The sequence below is a fragment of the Homo sapiens genome, chromosome 4, assembly GCF_000001405.40.
Source record: "Homo sapiens chromosome 4, GRCh38.p14 Primary Assembly".
Classification (NCBI taxonomy): Eukaryota; Metazoa; Chordata; class Mammalia; order Primates; family Hominidae; genus Homo; species Homo sapiens.
In genome coordinates this window covers 75493951-75512865 of record NC_000004.12, presented here as the reverse complement: position 1 = coordinate 75512865, position 18915 = coordinate 75493951, and the positions used below count along the sequence as shown (strand labels likewise).

At 35.2% G+C, this 18915-nt stretch overlaps 1 protein-coding gene across 15 annotated transcripts in view; it reads left to right on the top strand.

The window, feature by feature from the left end:
- The window catches only part of RCHY1 (ring finger and CHY zinc finger domain containing 1), a 35683-nt gene that overhangs the window by 1850 nt on the left and 14918 nt on the right, over positions 1-18915 (top strand). For 8 of the 15 annotated variants that reach the window (NR_103724.1, NR_103723.1, NR_037913.1 and 5 more), the window contains exons 2-4: positions 3570-3689; positions 3931-4046; positions 18687-18765. Coding sequence is in view for 10 of the 15 variants with exons in the window: in NM_001278538.2 (NP_001265467.1) it covers positions 3570-3689; positions 3931-4046; positions 18687-18765 (315 nt within the window). In the remaining 5 variants the exon portion in view is untranslated. The remainder of the gene's footprint in view (positions 1-3569; positions 3690-3930; positions 4047-18686; positions 18766-18915) is intronic. The other 7 variants (NR_103725.1, NR_037914.1, NM_001387136.1 and 4 more) reach the window with 2 other exon arrangements.

Genomic DNA, 18915 nt, shown 5'->3' with positions numbered 1-18915 from the left:
ATGTGGTCAGCTGGGTCAAATGCAGCTGTTTGAGTAAGATAACTGAGAATTGCCCTTTGGATTTGGCAAGGAAGAGGTCACTGGTGATCTTGACAAGAGGAGTTTTAGTGGAGAGATCAGGATTAGAGTGAATTTAGGAAAGAATGGGAGGAGTGGAATTGAAAATAGCACTTATAGGGTATTCTTGGGGTTTAGCTGTAAAGGGGAGCAAAAAAAAGATGTGGTTGCTGGGAGATCTGGCACCATATTTTTTCCTCTTTAAGAGAGGAAGTATTACAGCATGTTTGTATATTCTAGGAAATGATACAATAGAGTGAGAACGTTTTATAATGCAGGAGAGAGTGAGAAAACTGTAAGGGCATTGTCCCTGAGTAGCCAAAGGGGATGAAATCCAGTGCACAAGTGAAGGAGTTGGCCTTAGAAACATAGACTGTCAGTTCTTCCTAAGGGAAGGCAGAGAATGAGGTATATTTGCAAGTAAGTTAATAGAGATAATAGGAGGATGTTCTTTTCAGGCCTGTCAGCAGGAAGTATGTTTACTGTTTTTATAGTGAAATAAGGTCATCAGCAGAGTGTTAAGGAGGAAGAGTTGTTAGAGTTTTAAAGCCAGAGGAGAAGAAGTGAAATGATCATCTAAATCTTAGGTCTTAGACTCTGGAAGAATGAGAGAATTGACCAGGGAAACGTGGTAGTAAGTGTCCACCTCATATGAACCAGCAAGGACGGTGATGCTTTTTCTCTAGCCATATTCACCTGCTTCTGATAGAAGTCAAATAGGATTTAACTAGGGTTGGGATTGTTATCTATGAGTGTAGAGGAACTGAGAAGGGAACTAGGGTGTTGCAAGGGGAGACTTGGAGTAAGTTAGGGAGGAGGTAATGGTTAGAGAATTTCATGCTTGGAATTGAGATGCAAAGAGGGTGCCGTTGTTCTGTAGCATTGGTTTTCAAAGTGTGGTGAATGGAACCCTGGGGATTCCTGAAGTCCTTTCAGGGGCTCTGCAAGGCCAAAACTACTTTCTATGAACACTAAGATATTTGTTTTTTTTTTTTTTCAGTCTGTTGACACACGCATTGATGGTGGAAAAGCACTGTTTAGTATTGCTAGTATCTTAGCTTGAATCAAGACAGTGGCACTGAACTATACTACACCTATAGTTTTTTTAAAAAGCCAGCTTCACTTAAAAATGTTGATAAAGCAGTAAAATCGTTAATTTTAACCAAATCTCAACCCTTGAATATATCTTTTAATATGCTGTTCAATGACATGGGAAGTTTTGATCAAACACTTCTGCAAACTGAAATTAGAGGGTTGTCTTGAGGAAAAGCTCTTGTGCAAATTGGATTGTAAAGTGAACTAGTTGCTTTTTTTCATGGAACAGCATTTTTTACTTGAAAAAATTGTAGTCATTCACATTTGGGTAGTTGGCAGACATTTTCTCAAAAAGGAGAAAAGTGAGACTCACTACAAATGAAAATGACAGTATTTGTTGCCAGTGATAAAATTCAAGCTTTCACACAAAAATTAGAATTTTGGAAAACTTTTACTAGCTTTTGTGAGGTTGGAAGCTTTTTAAAAGACTTTTTTTGGTGAGATTTTCTTCAATACCTAAAGACTTTTAATGAATATGATTTTTTGATATTGCATGTTAAATGTGTGAACATTTAGAAGATGTAAATAACTCACTGAACTGGTATTCTCCAGATGACCAATGCATGAGTAAAACATCCATTTGAAGTGCAAGATAGAGCAATAGATTTTAATGTAACCAAGGAAGAAAAGAGGCATCATATCAATCATATTCCTTGATACGATTTCAGATTTCATGTTGCAACTACCCTTTAAGAGTTGTTGTTCTAGTGTAATATCAGAGAATGATATCCATAATTCTCCAAAAAGGCTATTAAAATACTCCTTTCTTTTCCAGTGTACATATTTGTGTGAGGCCAGAGTTTCTTTTTGTACTTCAGCCACAACTGTTTGAATGCATAAGCAGATAGAAGAATTCAGCTGTTTGGGGGGAAAAATATAGTTATTTTTCATTAAAACATGTTATTTATGTTAACAAGTAATGAGTTTGTTACTTTTAAAAAGAAGTAATATTTTAAAAACCTATTCTTTTTAATTTATGATGTGGTATATGTCAATAGATAAAATCCACATAAACCAAAGCTCTTTGGGATTCTCAGTAATTTTAAAAAGTGTGAAGGGATCCTGAGACCAAACCATTTGAGAACTACTGTTCTGCGGTATAACTATGAGAATAGTGGGTTGGAGGACAAGGTTATTGGAAATGACAAAGTTAAGGAACTGAGAGTTGCAGAAAAAGGAAGCCAGTTAAGTGTTAAAATCTTTAAGGAATGAACTACGTTATGGTAAGTCAAGGCATAGGAAGCCTTCAGAAATGAGTGGATCTGCAAGGTCACAGTGTATTGGAAAGTCACTGGCCTGGAAATCTCTTGATATACTTGTAATGGTAAAGTTGCTGTAATGAAAAAACCCAACAGTGATGTAGATTAAAGAGTAAAGGTTTTATTTCTTTCCATTTAACAATTCCAAGGCGAGTGATGCAGGTTGGTGATGAGGCTTTGCTCCACATGGTCACTCCAGGGATGAGATTTTTCTGTTGTATCATTTTGTCATGTTTTAGGGCATGTGGCCATCTGTCTGATATAGCTGAACAATTGTGCCCAGGAAGGAGAGGATAGATTTTGGTGGACAACTGGCAGTCTTTGCCGTGTTTGAAAACAAGGGCTGTCTCTTACATTTGTTGCATTTTGTGCAATATTAGATATGAGGTTGATGATTAATAAAAGCTAGTAAAATAAGAATATAATCTTTATTATTTTTAATGTAAATGAATTTATCTGGAAATGTCTAAGAAGAGGTTGCCTGTTTGCTGTTTAGGCTCAGAATGAAATTGGGGTGTTATATTAGTCTGTTTTCACACTGCTGATAAAGACATACCCAAGACTGGGAAGAAAAAGAGGTTTAATTGGACTTACAGTTCCACATGGCTAGGGAGGCCTGAGAATCATGGCGGGAGACAAAAGGCACTTCTTACATGGTGGTGGCAATAGAAAATGAGGAAGAAGCAAAAGTGGAAACTCCTGATAAACCCATCAGATCTCATGAGATTTTATTCATTATCACGAGAATGGCACGGGAGAGTCTGGCCCCCATGATTCAGTTACCTCCTTCTAAGTCCCTCCCACAACACGTGGGAATTCTGGGAGATACATTTCAAGTTGAGATTTGGGTGGGAACACAGCCAAAGCATATCAGGTGTTGTGGGATTAGTGTTTCAATCTAGGGATTTCCTTCATAATTCTTTTGTTTTAAAGTTGTGTTCAACTTCATACAGACGTAGTGATGTTGAAGGGAAGAATTAACATAAAATATGCCAAGAAACTAGTGAAATGTTATGTTTAGGATCAGTTTAGCAACTGATCTATTGGTTGTAATCTTTCAGTTCCATCCAGGAGGAGGAGGAAGAAATTTTCTTTTTGTATTGCACACTTAGTTTCTTTTGCTTCTTACTATATCTCTTTTTTCTCCGTGGGTGTTAGGCACCTTGCTGTGACAAGCTTTATACTTGCCGCTTGTGTCATGATAACAATGAAGATCATCAACTAGATCGCTTTAAAGTGAAGGAAGTGCAGTGCATAAACTGTGAAAAAATTCAACATGTAAGATTTTATGACATTTCTATTTTCTTTTTAAAAGCTGTATTAAGGTGGTTTGAAAAAATTTAATCAAAAGTATCATAAATAAGATTTCTTTAACTTCTAGAATAAGCAATATCTTTGGTTTAGGTGTTTCAAAACTTATAAAAATAAACTGCATATAGTTGAACATAAGTTCTAGATATTCAAATGGTAACTCAAAATGTTTAGTTTATTGCAGTTTTTAATTATGTTTCTTTTTTAGGCCCAACAGACTTGTGAAGAATGTAGCACATTGTTTGGAGAATATTATTGCGATATATGCCATTTGTTTGACAAAGATAAGAAGCAGTATCACTGTGAAAACTGTGGAATTTGTAGGTACTGTATGTAAAGTGTTCTTATCTAATTGCTTCTAATGTATATGCAATAATAGTTTTTAAAATCAACTTTATTAAGGTGTAATTTACATCTGATAAGATACATTCATTTTAAGTGTCCAATTAAGTGAGTTTTGATAAATACCGGTATCTCTTTTACTATCAGCACAATCAAGCTATAGAACATATCCATTCTAAAAAGTTTATTCATAATTTGTTAATAATTTAATTTACCCATCAATTATTGTATAACTATTTAGAATTTTACCTTTGGATTATAAAATATGTTTTATATAAAGTGTTTTATGGGCAACTGAGGTAGAGAATTGGGATAAATTTTTCCTTTGTAAAAATTAGTATTTAAAAAATTATCAAGAAATACAGGTGATTTTATAAAAATTGGAAAAAACAGAAAAGTAGAAATAATAAAAATAAAATAACCAGAGCCTAACCACAGACAAGCTACTGTTGACATGTCGGTGTATAAGGAATTATTTTCTTTCTTAAAAATCTCGAGTATTTTAGATGTATATTAAAGCATGTATGTAAAGTGTGTCTAAAGTACAGTACAGTGAATAAGCCACCGAGTTTAGGAAAGGAATGTTACCAATACTGTCAAAGCCCAAGGTGTTCCGTGTTCAGTCCTTTCTTCTTGTCCCTGCTGGAGGTAATCACTGTCTTGAATATTTTAAATCACTTTCTTGCTTTTTTTTTGTTTTTTTTGTTTTTTTAAAATATAGTTTGTTTTTAAGGAAGGATAACCAACCTACCAAAAGATAACAGAAATTATAAGCAAATGATTTTATGAATTTTAACAAATGAACATGCCTTTGTAACCACTACCCAGATCAAGAAACACAACATTCATAGCACCTTCATAGCTTCCTGTGTGCCCCCTCCAAATTAATACACTTCCCCAAAGGTAACCAGTATGCTGACTTTTGGAAGTTTTTAATGAATGGAATCATATAGTATATGCTCTTTTGTGTTTTGTTTTGTATGTTTTAAGGCCATGTCTTTCAGCGGTCACATACTTAAAATTATTACATTTTCCTGTATGATTGACCCATTTATTATTATATAATGTGTCTTTTTATCTTTAGTAATGTTTCCTGCCCTAGGCTCTACTGTATCTATATCAGCTTTCTTTCGATGAGTTTTTGCATGTATATCCTTTTCCATTTAGACATTTTTGTATACTTACATTTAAGTCATGTGTCTTGTAAAACAGCATATAGTTGAATTTTAATTTTTCAATCCAGTTTGATAAAACTGTCTTTTAATTGGAGTATATAGTTCGTTTTTTATTAAGGTAGTTAGGATATGTTCGTGTTTCAATCTACAGTTTTGGTAGTTTCTATTGCCTTAGTATTTGTCTTTTTTCCTCTCCTTTCTTGTCTTCTTTGGATTAATCTGTTGCTTTCCTATTTGCTTTTATTCTCTATAGGCTTGTTAGTTATACATTTTTCAATTATTTTCTTAGTGGTTATCCTAGAAATTATAACATACATCATTGGCTTACTAGAATAATATGTTTATCACTTCTTGGACAATATTAGGACCTTAAACACTAAGAGTCTTTATATGCTATTGTTGTTATATATTTACCGTTTCTATTGCCCTTCTTTCCTGTAGGTCTCCAGCATTATCTTTGGAGTTACTTTTCTTCTGCTTAAAGAATTGTCTTTAGTGTTTCTTTTAGTGAGGTCCTGCTGATGATACATTCTCTCAGTTTTTTTTGTCTCTGAAAAATGTCTTTTTTTTGCCTCCATTTTTGAATATTTTTGCTGGGTGTAGAATTCTAAGTTTACAGGTATTGGTTCCCCTGACCTCCCAACACTTTAAAGATATTCTGATTCCATGGTTTCTGTTTAAAAATATCATTTCTCAGGATTATTATTGCTTCTTTGAAGTTAAAATGTCTTTTATCCTCCTCTCGCTGTTTTTTAAGTCATTGGTTGTTAGTATTTTTTCCGTGTGTCCAGGTTTGATTGAGTGTAATATTTATCTGGCTTGGGGTTTGTAGCATTTGTTGAATCTGTGGCTTGATGTCTTCTGTCAATTTTGAAATATTTTTGGCCAGTTTCTCTTCAGATAATGTTTCTGTACCGTTTTCCCACCTCTTCTGAGACTCCATCCCATAGATCTTTTTACTACATCCCATGTCTCTTTTTTTTTTTCCTGTATTTCTCCTACTTTGATTTTCTTTATGCTTAAATTGGATACTTTCCACAGATTAACTTCCAGGTCTCTCTTCTGCTGCATTGAATCTGCTTTTAAGCCTACCAAGTTATCTATTTATTTAAGTTATAAAATTTATATTTTATCTTCATTCTTGTTATTTTCTAGTTGTCAGGTGAAATTCTTTACCTTTTTTTTCTTTGAATGTATTGATCACAGATGATTTAAAGGACTGTGCCTAATAACTCCAATATCTTGATTATCTATGGGTAAATTTTGTTTTCTGTTTTTTCTCCCTTGGTGTTTGGTTCTGCCTTTTGACATGCTTGATTTTTTTTTTTAGTTGATTGTTGGACATAATATGTAAAAATTTATTAAGCTCTCGATGCTATTTTTTTTTCAGAGAGAATTTAATTTTCTTTCAGAAGGCAGTTAATGTAGGGATGGATAACCTTAATCCAATTTAGCATTGATATGATTAGAGACTAATTTTTGTTTTTTTTTTTTTTGTATGTCCTGTTCTATTTTTTTTTTTTCCTCCCTTTATTCTTATGCTCCTAGGACATAGTCCCTTGGAGATCTTGACTTAAAGCTAGGGTTGTTTACCAGGCCCATCTCTTTCGTGGTGGAATCTGGACTCCAAATTTTGGCCCCCTAGCATAGGAGTACTTTCAGAGGGTTTACTTAGTTTCTTAGGCTCTTACCTGTTGCTCTCTGTTTAGTTTCTTAGCTTGTCACAGCACAGTTTAGGGTCTAAAAATCTCCCAAGGAAGAAAGAAGTAGAGACTATTGACTTTGCCTCAGTATATTTGCTTTCTCTCTGAGATCTTTGCCCTTCAAGCACTCAGTTGCTCTTTACTACTTTTAAACAGCTTGTTTGTTTTCTTTAAATTGAGTTTTTCTAGTTCTCAGTAGGAGTTTTAGTCCTATAGAAGCTATTTCGTCATTGTGGAAGTAGAAGTTACAATATATGTTTCATTTTGCTTATTTTAAAAATCATATATATGGCCTTTTTTTCTTTTTGTTTTTTTACTGAGCTCTGTTTCTAAGATTCATCCTATTTGATTAACTCTAATTCATTTTCACTTTTGTAGTGTTATTTTGTATATCATATCTACACATAGCTTCTAATTACCACACACAACCAAGAAAATCATACCCTCTTTTATTGGTTGATTTATTGACATTCAAGTTATTGTTACTGCAAAGTACACATCTCATGCTACATGGTAAATATTAAACTTCATGAGATCATGGTATTTTCATATTTTAAATTTCTATACCTGGGAGTGCCTTATATCAGGGTCCCCAGTGCTTGGGGTGCGGATTCTGGTGCATGGCCTGTTAGGAACTGAGCTGCGCCCAGTGCAGGGTGAGTGGTGGGTGATCGACCATTACTGTCTGAGCTCTGCCTCCTGTCACATCAGTAGTAGCATTAGATTCTCATAGGAGCACAAACCCTATTGTGAACTGTGCATTCAAGGGATCTAGGTTGTGTACTCCTTATGAGAATCTAATACCTGATTATCTGAGGTGGAACAGTTTCATCCCGAAACCATCCCCCAACCTCGGTCCATGGAAAAATTGTCTTCCATGAAACCAGTCCCTGGTGCCAGAAAGGTTGGTGACCGCTGCCGTATATACAGTAGGTGCACAGTAATGTGTAGGCAGTATATCTTTGGCAGTGTTTTCAGTATTATGATAACCCTGAATATACTAGAAAAATTAGTCATCGCCATTTACCATTTAAGTATAATGGATTCTTTTTACTTTAAAAAATATTTTAAAGCCCTTTTGTGAATAATGTGCAGACGAAAGAATAAAGGATAGTGAAAATTAACTTCACTGGAAATTTTACTAAGAATTTGAACACTGCAAACCCAAATTTTAATTCCATGTATTCCAAGTTGAAGATAATGTGTGCTCAAATATGTCAGTGTCCTCTGTAACTGCTTTTGACCCTTGAACAATGTTGGGGGTTAAGGGCACCAAGTGCCAGCTCAGTTGAAAATCTGAGTATAACTTTCAACTCCCCACAACTTAACTACTAATAGCCTGCTACTGACTGGAAGTCTTATCAATAACACAAATAGCCAATTAATACATATTTTGTATGTTATATGTATTATATACTATATTCTTAGGATAAACTAGAGAAAAATATTAGGACAATCATAAGGAGAAAATATGTTAACTGTTCATTAAGTGGAAATGGATCATCATAAAGGTCTTCATCCTTCTTCATGTTGAGTAGGCTGAAAAGAGGGAGGAAGAAGAGAGATTGGCTTTGCTATCTCAGGGGTGGCAGAGGTAGAAGAAAATCTGCTTATAAGTAGACCTGTGTACTTCAAATTTGTGTTGTTCAAGGGGTCAACTGTATTTACTTGTCAGTTGTCATGCTTGAATCTGGCACATGTGCATCGTGTAAATAACTGATACTAGATTTTAGATACATTTCTAATAGGTTCTAGCTTGTAATTACTTCTGGTTCTTCTTGTATTTGTATCATCAAAATGCAATACTAATTCCAGATCTCAAATACACCACTGATAAGTCTTGGCTTATCATTACTTCTGTACACATATTACCAAATTCAAATACATTTGAGAACTTTGAGAGTCGTAATTTGGTTGAAGAAAAGACGACCTTTCTTCATAATTGCATGCTCTGTAATTGCAAAACATTTTAATGAATTTTTTTCATTTTTACATCATCTGTTTCCTTTTAAGTACTTTAACATATGTACCTGCCTTCAACGTTTGTCCACTTATGAACCATATTAAGTAAATTTTGGTGTACAAACGTCATAAAAGATGGAAGAATATTATCACACATTCTTTAAGGATGTCCAGGTTTTTGTCATGAAATAATGTAATTTGAAGTCCTTCCTAATAAATGACTAAGTGAGGATACCATATTTTCTTTTTTTTTTTAATTAATTTTTTTTTGAGATGGAGTCCCACTCTGTCACCCAGGCTGGAGTGCAGTGGCGTGATCTCGGCTCACTGCAACCTCTGCCTCCTGGGTTCAAGCAATTCTGCCTCAGCCTCCCTAGTAGCTGGGATTACAGGCACTCGCCACCACAGCCAGCTAATTTTTGTATTTTTAGTAGAGATGAGGTTTCACTTTGTTAGCCAGGATGGTCTTGATCTCCTGACCTCGTGATCCGCCCACCTTGGCCTCCCAAAATGCTGGAATTACAGGTGTGAGCCACTGTGCCTGGCCACCATATTTTCTTTTTGTCCTTAGAAATATATTGTTCATTCCTTTTTTTCAGTGAGACCATTCATATGGTACATCATCTGAAAATCATAATCTGATTTATTGCTTATAGGATTGATTTCACCATCATTATAATTAGAGTCCAGAGCACTGGTTCTCAACTGGGGAGAGTTTTTTCCCAGGTGATATCTGGCAATGCCTGGAGACATTTTCAGCTGTTGTAACCAGGGAGTGAGGGGTAGCAGATGCTAATGACATCTACTGGATAGAGACCAGGGATGCTACTAAACATCCTATAATGTGCAAGACGCTTTCCTGCTACAAAGTATTATCTGGTTCAAAATGTAAATATTGCCTAGGTGGAGAACCTTCAGTCTAGAATGGTTATCTGCCTTTTTGCATTTATTTTCTGCTTTGTCTAAATTTTCCTTTTTTTTTTTCTATTTGTGAAAAATGAAAAATTCTGATTTCTCAACTGTGTTCAAGGAAAACTACAAAGAAGGTATCTGCGGACTCTTTAATGCCTTCTGGAAAGATGATGTAATACTTTGAGCAGTACAGAAAGAAAACCGAAGGATTATGCATTAGTGATTATTTCATGTCATTCTTTCATGTTTCTACATGAAAGGTCTTTCTACCATGCTTTGCATTTTAGTCTTTTTGTTAGGATAGTTGGGAATGATTGATAATGTGAAAGGATTCCTAGGATGCTGAAATACCAAAATTAGGAAAAATAAGATTAAGATTCCATAATGTATCAGATTTATGAAAGGGTTCAATGGACCCATATGATAATTGCAAACAGAATAGAATGAGTTTATTCTATTAAAGAAAAAGTAGATTTTCTTCTTTAGAAGATTTCTTTTCTCTTTTTTTTTGAGACGGAGTCTCACTCTGGCGCCCAGGCTGGAGTGCAGTGGCGCGATCTTGGCTCACTGCAAGCTCTGCCTCCTGGGTTCATGCCTTTTTCCTGCCTCAGCCTCCCAAGTAACTGGGACTACAGGCGCCCGCCACTATGCCTGGCTAATTTTTTGTATTTTTAGTAGAGACGGGGTTTCACCGTGTTAGCCAGCATGGTCTCGATCTCCTGACCTCGTGATCCACCTGCCTTGGCCTCCCAAAGTGCTGGGATTACAGGTGTGAGCCACCGCAGCTGGCCTTCTTTGGAAGATTTCTAAAGAAAGAATAAATGTCACAAAATATTCATCTTTAAAACAGAATTGATTAAAAAAAGAACTAGACCTGGGTACAGAGTGAATATTGTATAAAAAGGCTTTTGCAGTCATAAAAGCTTTGTTAAATGCTGAATTTAATCAAAATCCCTTCTCAGAACTTTTTTTTTTTTGAGACAGAGTTTCACTCTTGTTGCCCAGGCTGTTGTACAATGGCACTGTCTTGGCTCACCGCAACCTCTGCCTCCTGGGTTCAAGTCCTGCCTCAGCCTCCCGAGTAGCTGGCATTACAGGCATGTGCCACCATGCCTGGCTAATTTTGTATTTTTAGTAGAGATGGGGTTTCTCCATGTTGGTCAGGCTGGTCTTGAACTCCCTACCTCAGGTGATCCTCCCACCTTGGCCTCCCAAAGTGCTGGGATTATAGGCGTGAGCCACCGCACTGAGCCTTTTCAGAACTTTTAACTTGTTAATTGTACAGTGCAAATATCCAAGTATATTGAGTTTCTAATAACAGTATTTGATTATAGAATCCTTTTCATGTTCAGTGGAACATAATTAGGAGATGTTTAATGTATAGAATAACAGAATTTTCAAATAGAAAAGTTGTTTTATGTTATTGGGTATTGTAATATGTGACTCACGTTATAGACAAATAATTATGTTCACTTCAAGTAGGCATTTTAGGAGGCATTTTATCTTTTGTCATTGTTCAAAAATATTTGAAATGTTTATTTTCTGCAGTTGCTTTTAATGAGTGCATATGGCATACTGAAAAACTACCCTCGAGGATTTTTGAGTTCTTTTGATTTTTAAAAAATCTGCCAAAAGATATTGGAAGCAAAATCTATTAAGTTTGACAAATACTGTCTTTAGTCAAATGACATATGATCATCAATAATGACTATTATTTTTTAGATAATAAAAATATTAAAAGAGCTGGGCGCAGTGGCTCACGCCTCTAATCCTAGCACTTTGGGAGGCCAAGGCGGGCAGATCACCTGAGGTTGGGAGTTTGAGACCAGCCTGACCAACATGGAGAAACCCTGTCTCTACTAAAAATACAAAATTAGCCAGGCGTGGTGGTATATGTCTGTAATCCCAGCTATTCGGGGGGCTGAGGCAGGAGAATTGCTTGAACCCGTGGGCGGGAGGTTGCAGTGAGCCAAAATCGTGCCATTGCACTCCAGCCTGGGCAACAAGAGCAAAACTCTGTCTAAAAATATATACATATTTTATTGTATATAGTATGTATAAAAATTATAAATATATATTTGAGAAACTGGTTAGAGTTGAAAACTATCCTTTCATGATAACTTTTTAAAAAATCATGTTATTTGAATGTATTAATTCCTGTATTTTTGTTTGAAAATCAGTCTTTTTGGAGCTGCACATTCTTGATAGTCTTTTGCACCAAGTCTTTTTTGGGAATTAAACATTTTTGTCTTAGGTATATCATGAAAGTTTGTCATTGCTTTTAGTTCATTAAATAAATCTATAAGGCAAGGATGAACAGGTCTTCTTGGTATAGCTCTCCTACTGAAATTTCTACTCTTGACCCTATTGCTTCATCTAAGATATATCTGACTCTCATCTGGAGGTGTGGGCTTGAAAAATTGCTGTTCATCCTTAGGCAAGAATCACTGTAAGCAATTCAAGTGCTTCGTACAGAGTTTAATAGTGTATTATTCCTGATTTATGTTTTAAAATAGCTTCATTATAGTTATAGATAATCTTTGGACTGTGGCTATATTTCTCAAAGACAGATGTGCCCTAAAGATGGGGTTTCAGTTTTCGGTAAATACGGGCAAACATCTGGTCTTAATTTTTTGGTAATGAACATATATCCTTACTGTAATGTACAAGAATAAGCTTTTTAAAAAGTGAGGAAGTAACCAGTTTCTCATTGTTATTAAATAAGCACCAGAGCTTATTATAAGACAGAGTCGCATAGCAGAAGTGGTTGCTGTGTTCTGATTATCCTTATTTGTATTGACATGTATTAGGTGTACATATTTTTGGACTACATGTGGTAATTCAGTGCATTCATATAATCAAATCAGGCTAATTGGGTTATCCATTACCTTAAATATTTATTGTTTTTTGAGAAAGGGTCTTGCTCTGTTGCCCAGGCTGGAGTGCAATCGCACAATCATGACTCACTGCAGCCTTGACCTCCCAGGTTTATGTGATCCTCCCACCTCAGCCTCCTGGGTAGCTGGGACTATAGGAATGTGCCACCATGCCCAGCTAATTTTTTGTGGAGTTGGGGTTTCCCCTTGTTGCCCAGGCTTAAATATTTGTGCTAGAAACATTTGAATTAATTCTCTTTTAGCTAGTTTGAAATGTATAATCAATTAATGTAAACCGTAGTCACCCTACTGGTCTATCAAACACCAGGGCTTATTTCTTCTAAGTGTATATTTGTATCCATTAATCAACTTTTCTTCATCCCCTCCCCTGCCCCATCCTCCCTACCCTTGTAGGCTTCTGGTGTCTTCCAGCCTACTCTATCTTCATGACATCCTGTTTTTAGCTCCCACATATGATTGAGAACATGTGATATTTGTCTTTCTGTGGTTGGCTTGTTTCGCTTAACATAATGACCTCCATCCTATCCATGTTGCTGTAAATTACAGGATTTCATTCTTTTTAATGGCTGAGTAATACTCCGTAGTGTACATATACCATATTTTCTTTATCCATTCATCCACTGATGGACACTAAGGTTGCTTCCATATTTCAGCTATTTTGAATAGTGCTGCAGTAAACATGGGAGTGCAGATACCCTTTGAGGTACTGATTTCCCCTTAGATATGTACTTTTAGTGGACTTGCTGGATCATATGGTAGCTCTATGTTTAGTCTTTTTGAGGACTCTCCATTCAGATTGCCACAGTGGCTGTATTAATTTATATTTCTACAAGTAGTATACAAGGGTTCCACTTTCTCTATATCCTCACCAGCATCTGTTATTCCCTGTCTTTTATGATATAAGCCATTCTAACTGGGGTGTGATGATACCTCATTGTGGTTTTGATTTCTGTTTGTCTGATGATTAGTGATGTTGAGTATTTTCTCACATACCTGTTGGCCATTAGTTTGTCTTTTGAGAAATTACTGTACAGGTCTTTGGACTATTTTTAAATCTTTTTTTTTGTTATTAAGTTGTCTGAGCTCTTTATATATTTTGGTTATTAATTCCTTGTCAGGTGGATAGTTTGCAAATAGTTTCTCTCATTCTGTGGGTTGTCTCTTCACTTGTTTGTTTCCCTGTGCTGTGCAGAAGCTTTTTAGCTTGATGTAATTCCGTCTGTTTTTGTTTCAGTTGTGCGTGCTTTTGAGATCTTACACAAAAAAATCTTTGCCAAGATCAGTGTCCTGGAGAGTTTCCCCAGTGTTTTCTTTCATTAGTTTTATAGTTTCAGGTCTTAGGTTTAAGTCTTTAATCCATTTTGATTTGATTTCTGTGTACGGTGAGAGAGAAGCATCTAGTTTCATGCTTCTGCATATGGTATCCTGTTTTTTTCTGCACCATTTATTGAAGAGATTGTCCTTTTTCTGTTGTATATTTTTAGCACCTTTCTTGAATATGAGTTAGCCGTAAATGCATACATTTATATGTGGATTCTCTGTTCTGCATAATTGGTCTACTTGTCTCTTTTTATGCCAGTACCATGCTGATTTGATTACAATAGCTTTGTAGTATATTTTGAAGTTAGGTAGTGTGAAGCCTCTCCAGTTATGTTTTTTTTTTTTTTTTTTGCTCAGGATTGCTTTGACTATTCAGGGTCTTTTGTGGCTCCATATAAATTTTAGGATTTCTTTTCTTTCTCTTCCTTCCTTCCTTTCTTTAAATGTTTGCTATAATTCAGCAGTGAAGCCATCAGATTGTGGGCTTTTCTTTGATGTGAAACTTTTTGTCATGGCTTCAGTCTCATTACTTGTTACTGGCTTATTGAGGTTTTTTTGTGGTTCAATCTCAGAAGGTTGGATGTGTCCAGGAATTTATCTATTCTAGGTTTTCCAATTTGTGGTTAAATAGTTGTTCGTAATAGTATCTATCTTTGTATTTCTGTGGTCTGAGTTCTTACGTCTTCTCTTTTGTTTCTGGTTTTTTTTTTTTTAGTCTATTACATTTTTTTTTGATTTTATCTTTTCAAAAACACCAGCTTTTGTTTTATTGGTCTTTTGTATTGTGTTTTTAGTCTCACTCTCATTTTTTTCTGCTCTGCTCTTTATTATTTCTTTCCTTTTACCAATTTTGAGTTTGTGAAGTCTGTCCCGGGGGTAATCCAGTCATTTTTATTTTTCTCCTGTGCACGTCTTCTTTTCTTTCTTTCAAAATAGCTGCTTTTAAGATTTTTTTTCTTTGTCTCTGGTTTTGATAATTAGATTATGACATTCCATTGTATAGTTTTCTTCATGTTGCTTGTGCTTAGGGTTTGTTGAGCTTTTTGAATCCATTGGTTTATAGTTTTTTTCATTAATTTCAGGAAAGTTTTGGCTATTACTATTTCAGATGTTTTTTCGGTCCTCCTCCTTCCCCTGCTTCCTACCTTAGGGATCTCCAATTGCATGTGTTAAAAGAAAAACTTAAGACAAATTAAACTTAACAGAGTTTAAATTAAACTTAACAGAGTTTAAATTAAACTTAACAGAGTTTAATTGAGCAAAGAACGATTTGCAAGGTGGGTAGCTCCAAAATGATAATAGGTTCAGACCAACCTTGGCTCTGCCATGTGGTCAGAGAGGATTTATGGACAGACAAAGGAAAGTGACAGAAAATGAGTAAGGTATGGAAACAGCTGGATTGGTTACAGCTCAGCATTTGCCTTATTTAAACACAGTTTGAACCGAGGACTGCCTGTGATTGGATGAAACTTGGTGATTGATTGGTACTAGAGTAGGTTACTGTAGGTAAACACATCCAGTTAGGTTACAGTTAACTATGTACAGCAAAGCCTTTTAGGACGATCTTAAAATATGTAGGAGGCAGCGTTAGGCTCAACTGAACACATGTATGTTAGGTTGCTTGAAGTTGTCTCACAGCTTACTCATGCTCTGTCGTTTTAAAAAAATTCCCTTTTCTTCCTATTTCATTTCGGATAGTTTCTGTTACTGTGCCTTCAAGTTGACTAACCTTTTTGTTAGCAATATCAAACTTGCCATTAGTTTCATCAGTGTATTTTTAAATCTCAGACATTGTAGTTTTTATGTCTAGAAGTTTGATCTGGGTCTTTAAACATATTTTTCATATTTAATACTTTTTTAATGTAATGGTATACAGTTATAATAACTTTTAATGCCCTGTATTAATTCTAACATCTGTGTCTGTTCTGGGTTGATTGATTGATTATTCTTCTCATTTTAGGTTGTGTTTTTCTGCCTCTTTGTTGCCTGGTTATTGTGGGTTGGATATCAGATGTGATTTTTCTTTTTATCATGTTTAGTGCTGGGTATTTTTGTATTCCTATAAATCTTCTTGAGCTTTATTTTGGGATGCAGTTAAGTTACTTGGAAACAGTTTAGACTTTCTGGGATTTACTTTTCTAATTTGTTAGGTAGATCTACAGAAGGGCTTATCCCAGGGCTATTCTCCACTGTTGAGGCAATATCCTTCTGAATACTCCACCCGGAGCCTGCGAATTATGAGTTTCCCCAGTCTGTTTGATGGGATCAGGCACTGTTCCTAGCCATGTGTGAGTAGTACTGTTCTCATTCTTTAGAAGGTTGTTTCCCTGGCTTTGGGTAGTTTTCTTACATCCATGTGCTGATGGGTATCCTACTAAATATTTCAGAGGTTTCTCTGTGCAGCTCTCTCCTATCTGATGCTCTGTCCTATGAATCTGTCTTGGTTTCTCTAGACTGTCTCAGCTCATCATTTCAATCATGATGTCTTCCTAGCTCACCCTTAGTTCTTCTAACCTGTCCTGGCCTCAAAACTCTCTAGGCAATAAATGAGCAATTTTAGGGCTCACTTACTTTGTTTCTTATCTCTCACAGATCACTCTGTGTTGTTGCCTGATGTTCAGTGAAACTGCTGTTTCATATATTCTGTCTTTTGTCATTATTTTTTCAGATGGGAGGGTAGGTCTGATCTCCGTTATTCTATCTTTGGCAGTAGTGGAAACGTCCCTGCAGAATTTTACTTATGGAGTTTGACAGCCTATTCTAAAGTTCATTTGTAAGAGAAAATTCACAATAGCTGAGTAAATTTTGAAGGAAGGACAACGAAGAGTGGATTGCCGTTCCACATATCAAAACATGATAAAGCTATAGTAATTCAAATAGTTTGCTGTTTGTGCAGGAATAGACGAATAGATAAATATGTGTGTGTGTATATACACAGACAAATATTTATACATATGAATTTATGGCAAAAGTGACATTTCAAATCAGGAAAGGGTAGTATTAAGATAATTGATTATCCATTCGGAAACCAAAAATTGACTCTTCAAACTGTATTCATTAGAGTATGGATTTAGCATCTTGTGACAGAAACCCAAAGTAATGGTGGTTCAAGAAAGGCAGAAGTTCATTTCTCATGGAAATAAATCTGAGTTGTGTAGCTAAACAGGAACTCAGGCTCTTCTTGTTTTTTGCCTTGTCACCCATAAGATATTTTCTTGTCTCTGTAGTCTAAAATGCCTCATATTCTGGTCTGTAGAAAGGCTAGTTAGGTGAAGGGAAGGCATATTTTTCCTCTTGAGGGTACAATGCAGAATTTTCATGTATCTCTTCTGTTCCCAACGTCCAGGTATGTTGGAAAATAGTCTTTATTCAGGACAGTTCTGAATAGCTCAGTGCCTAGCTAAATACCCTATCATTGTAGAAGAAGTGGAGAATAGAAATTTAGGGACAAGTAGCAATCTAACCTTTGCCATATATAGCAAATTTCAAATGGATTAAAGAAAAATATAAAAATGAAAAGCTGTAAGTACTAGAAGTATACATAGGAGAGTCTGTTTATGATCTATAGGTTACAAAAGTTTCCTAAACAAGAGGCAGAAAGCATAAGCTATACAGGAAAATATTGATGACTTTTTACCACATAGTAATTAAAAATGGCTATATGACAAAGTTAAGAGAAATCACAGACCAGAAAAGTAAATATAAAATATGCAAATAAAAAATTGATATTGGTGATATATAAATATAATACATGCGAATGAAAACATTGATATTCATTATATAAATAACTAATATTCATGATATATTTTTTACCAGTAAATTGGTTAAAAACAAATACTTCAGTAGAAAAATGGACAGAACATATGAACAGACAATCCACAGAGAAATCCAAGTAGTTCATTAATGTACAGTCCCTGTCTCATTATTTGTGAAATGCAAATTAAAATGACATCTTTTGTTTGTCTATAATACAAGTAACCATGTTACCCAAAGTGTGGGGAACATGGTTACTCTCATGCAGTGTTGGTGGAAGTATAAATTGGTACTGTCTATTTGGAGGTCAGTTTGGCAGTATCACAATTAATGTTGCAACATCTTCTGACTCAGTAGTTTCACTTCTAGGAATCTCGTAAAAAATAATCAACATGTGAACTAAGTGATGTCTGGACAAGGATGTTTACTGTATCATTGTAGCAACTAAAGATCATAAATTATGATCTTTCTGAGGGAATATTTAAAAAAATTAGTATACATCCATGCCATTAATGTAGCTATTAAGAAGAATGAAGTGGTTCTGTGTAGACAGACATAAAATCCTCAGAATATATCAAGTGAAAAAAAGTTGCAGAATGGCATCTGTAGAAAGAATCCATTAATGTAAGAAATCAAACCCGAAATGTGTGTGTGTGTCTGTGTTTCTCTCTTTTTGCAATTTTATAGAAAAAGAAAAAAAAGCCCTAGAAGGGTAGATACCACTCTGTGTATAGTGCTTACATTTGGAGAGGGATGTTGGGGAGATAGGGATTTATCCCATATTCTCCATTGTGGCTGGAAATTTTTTTTACAGAGACTAAACTTGTGTTTTACATAATGAACAAATCATGACTGTAGTAAAAAATAATCTAATCTTTTGGCTTTCATGTGTTTTGCTAGGATTGGTCCAAAGGAAGATTTTTTCCATTGTTTGAAATGTAACTTATGCCTAGCTATGAATCTTCAAGGAAGACACAAGGTATATAATTTAGTTTGTATAATTTTAAAAATATTACAGTGTTTTTGCAATAAGCTTAACTTCTAATATGTTTTGGAAGCATGCTAATTTTCATGTATTTCCAAGTGCAACTATATTGCTTTTTTGAAAAGCAGTATTAACAAGTAGATA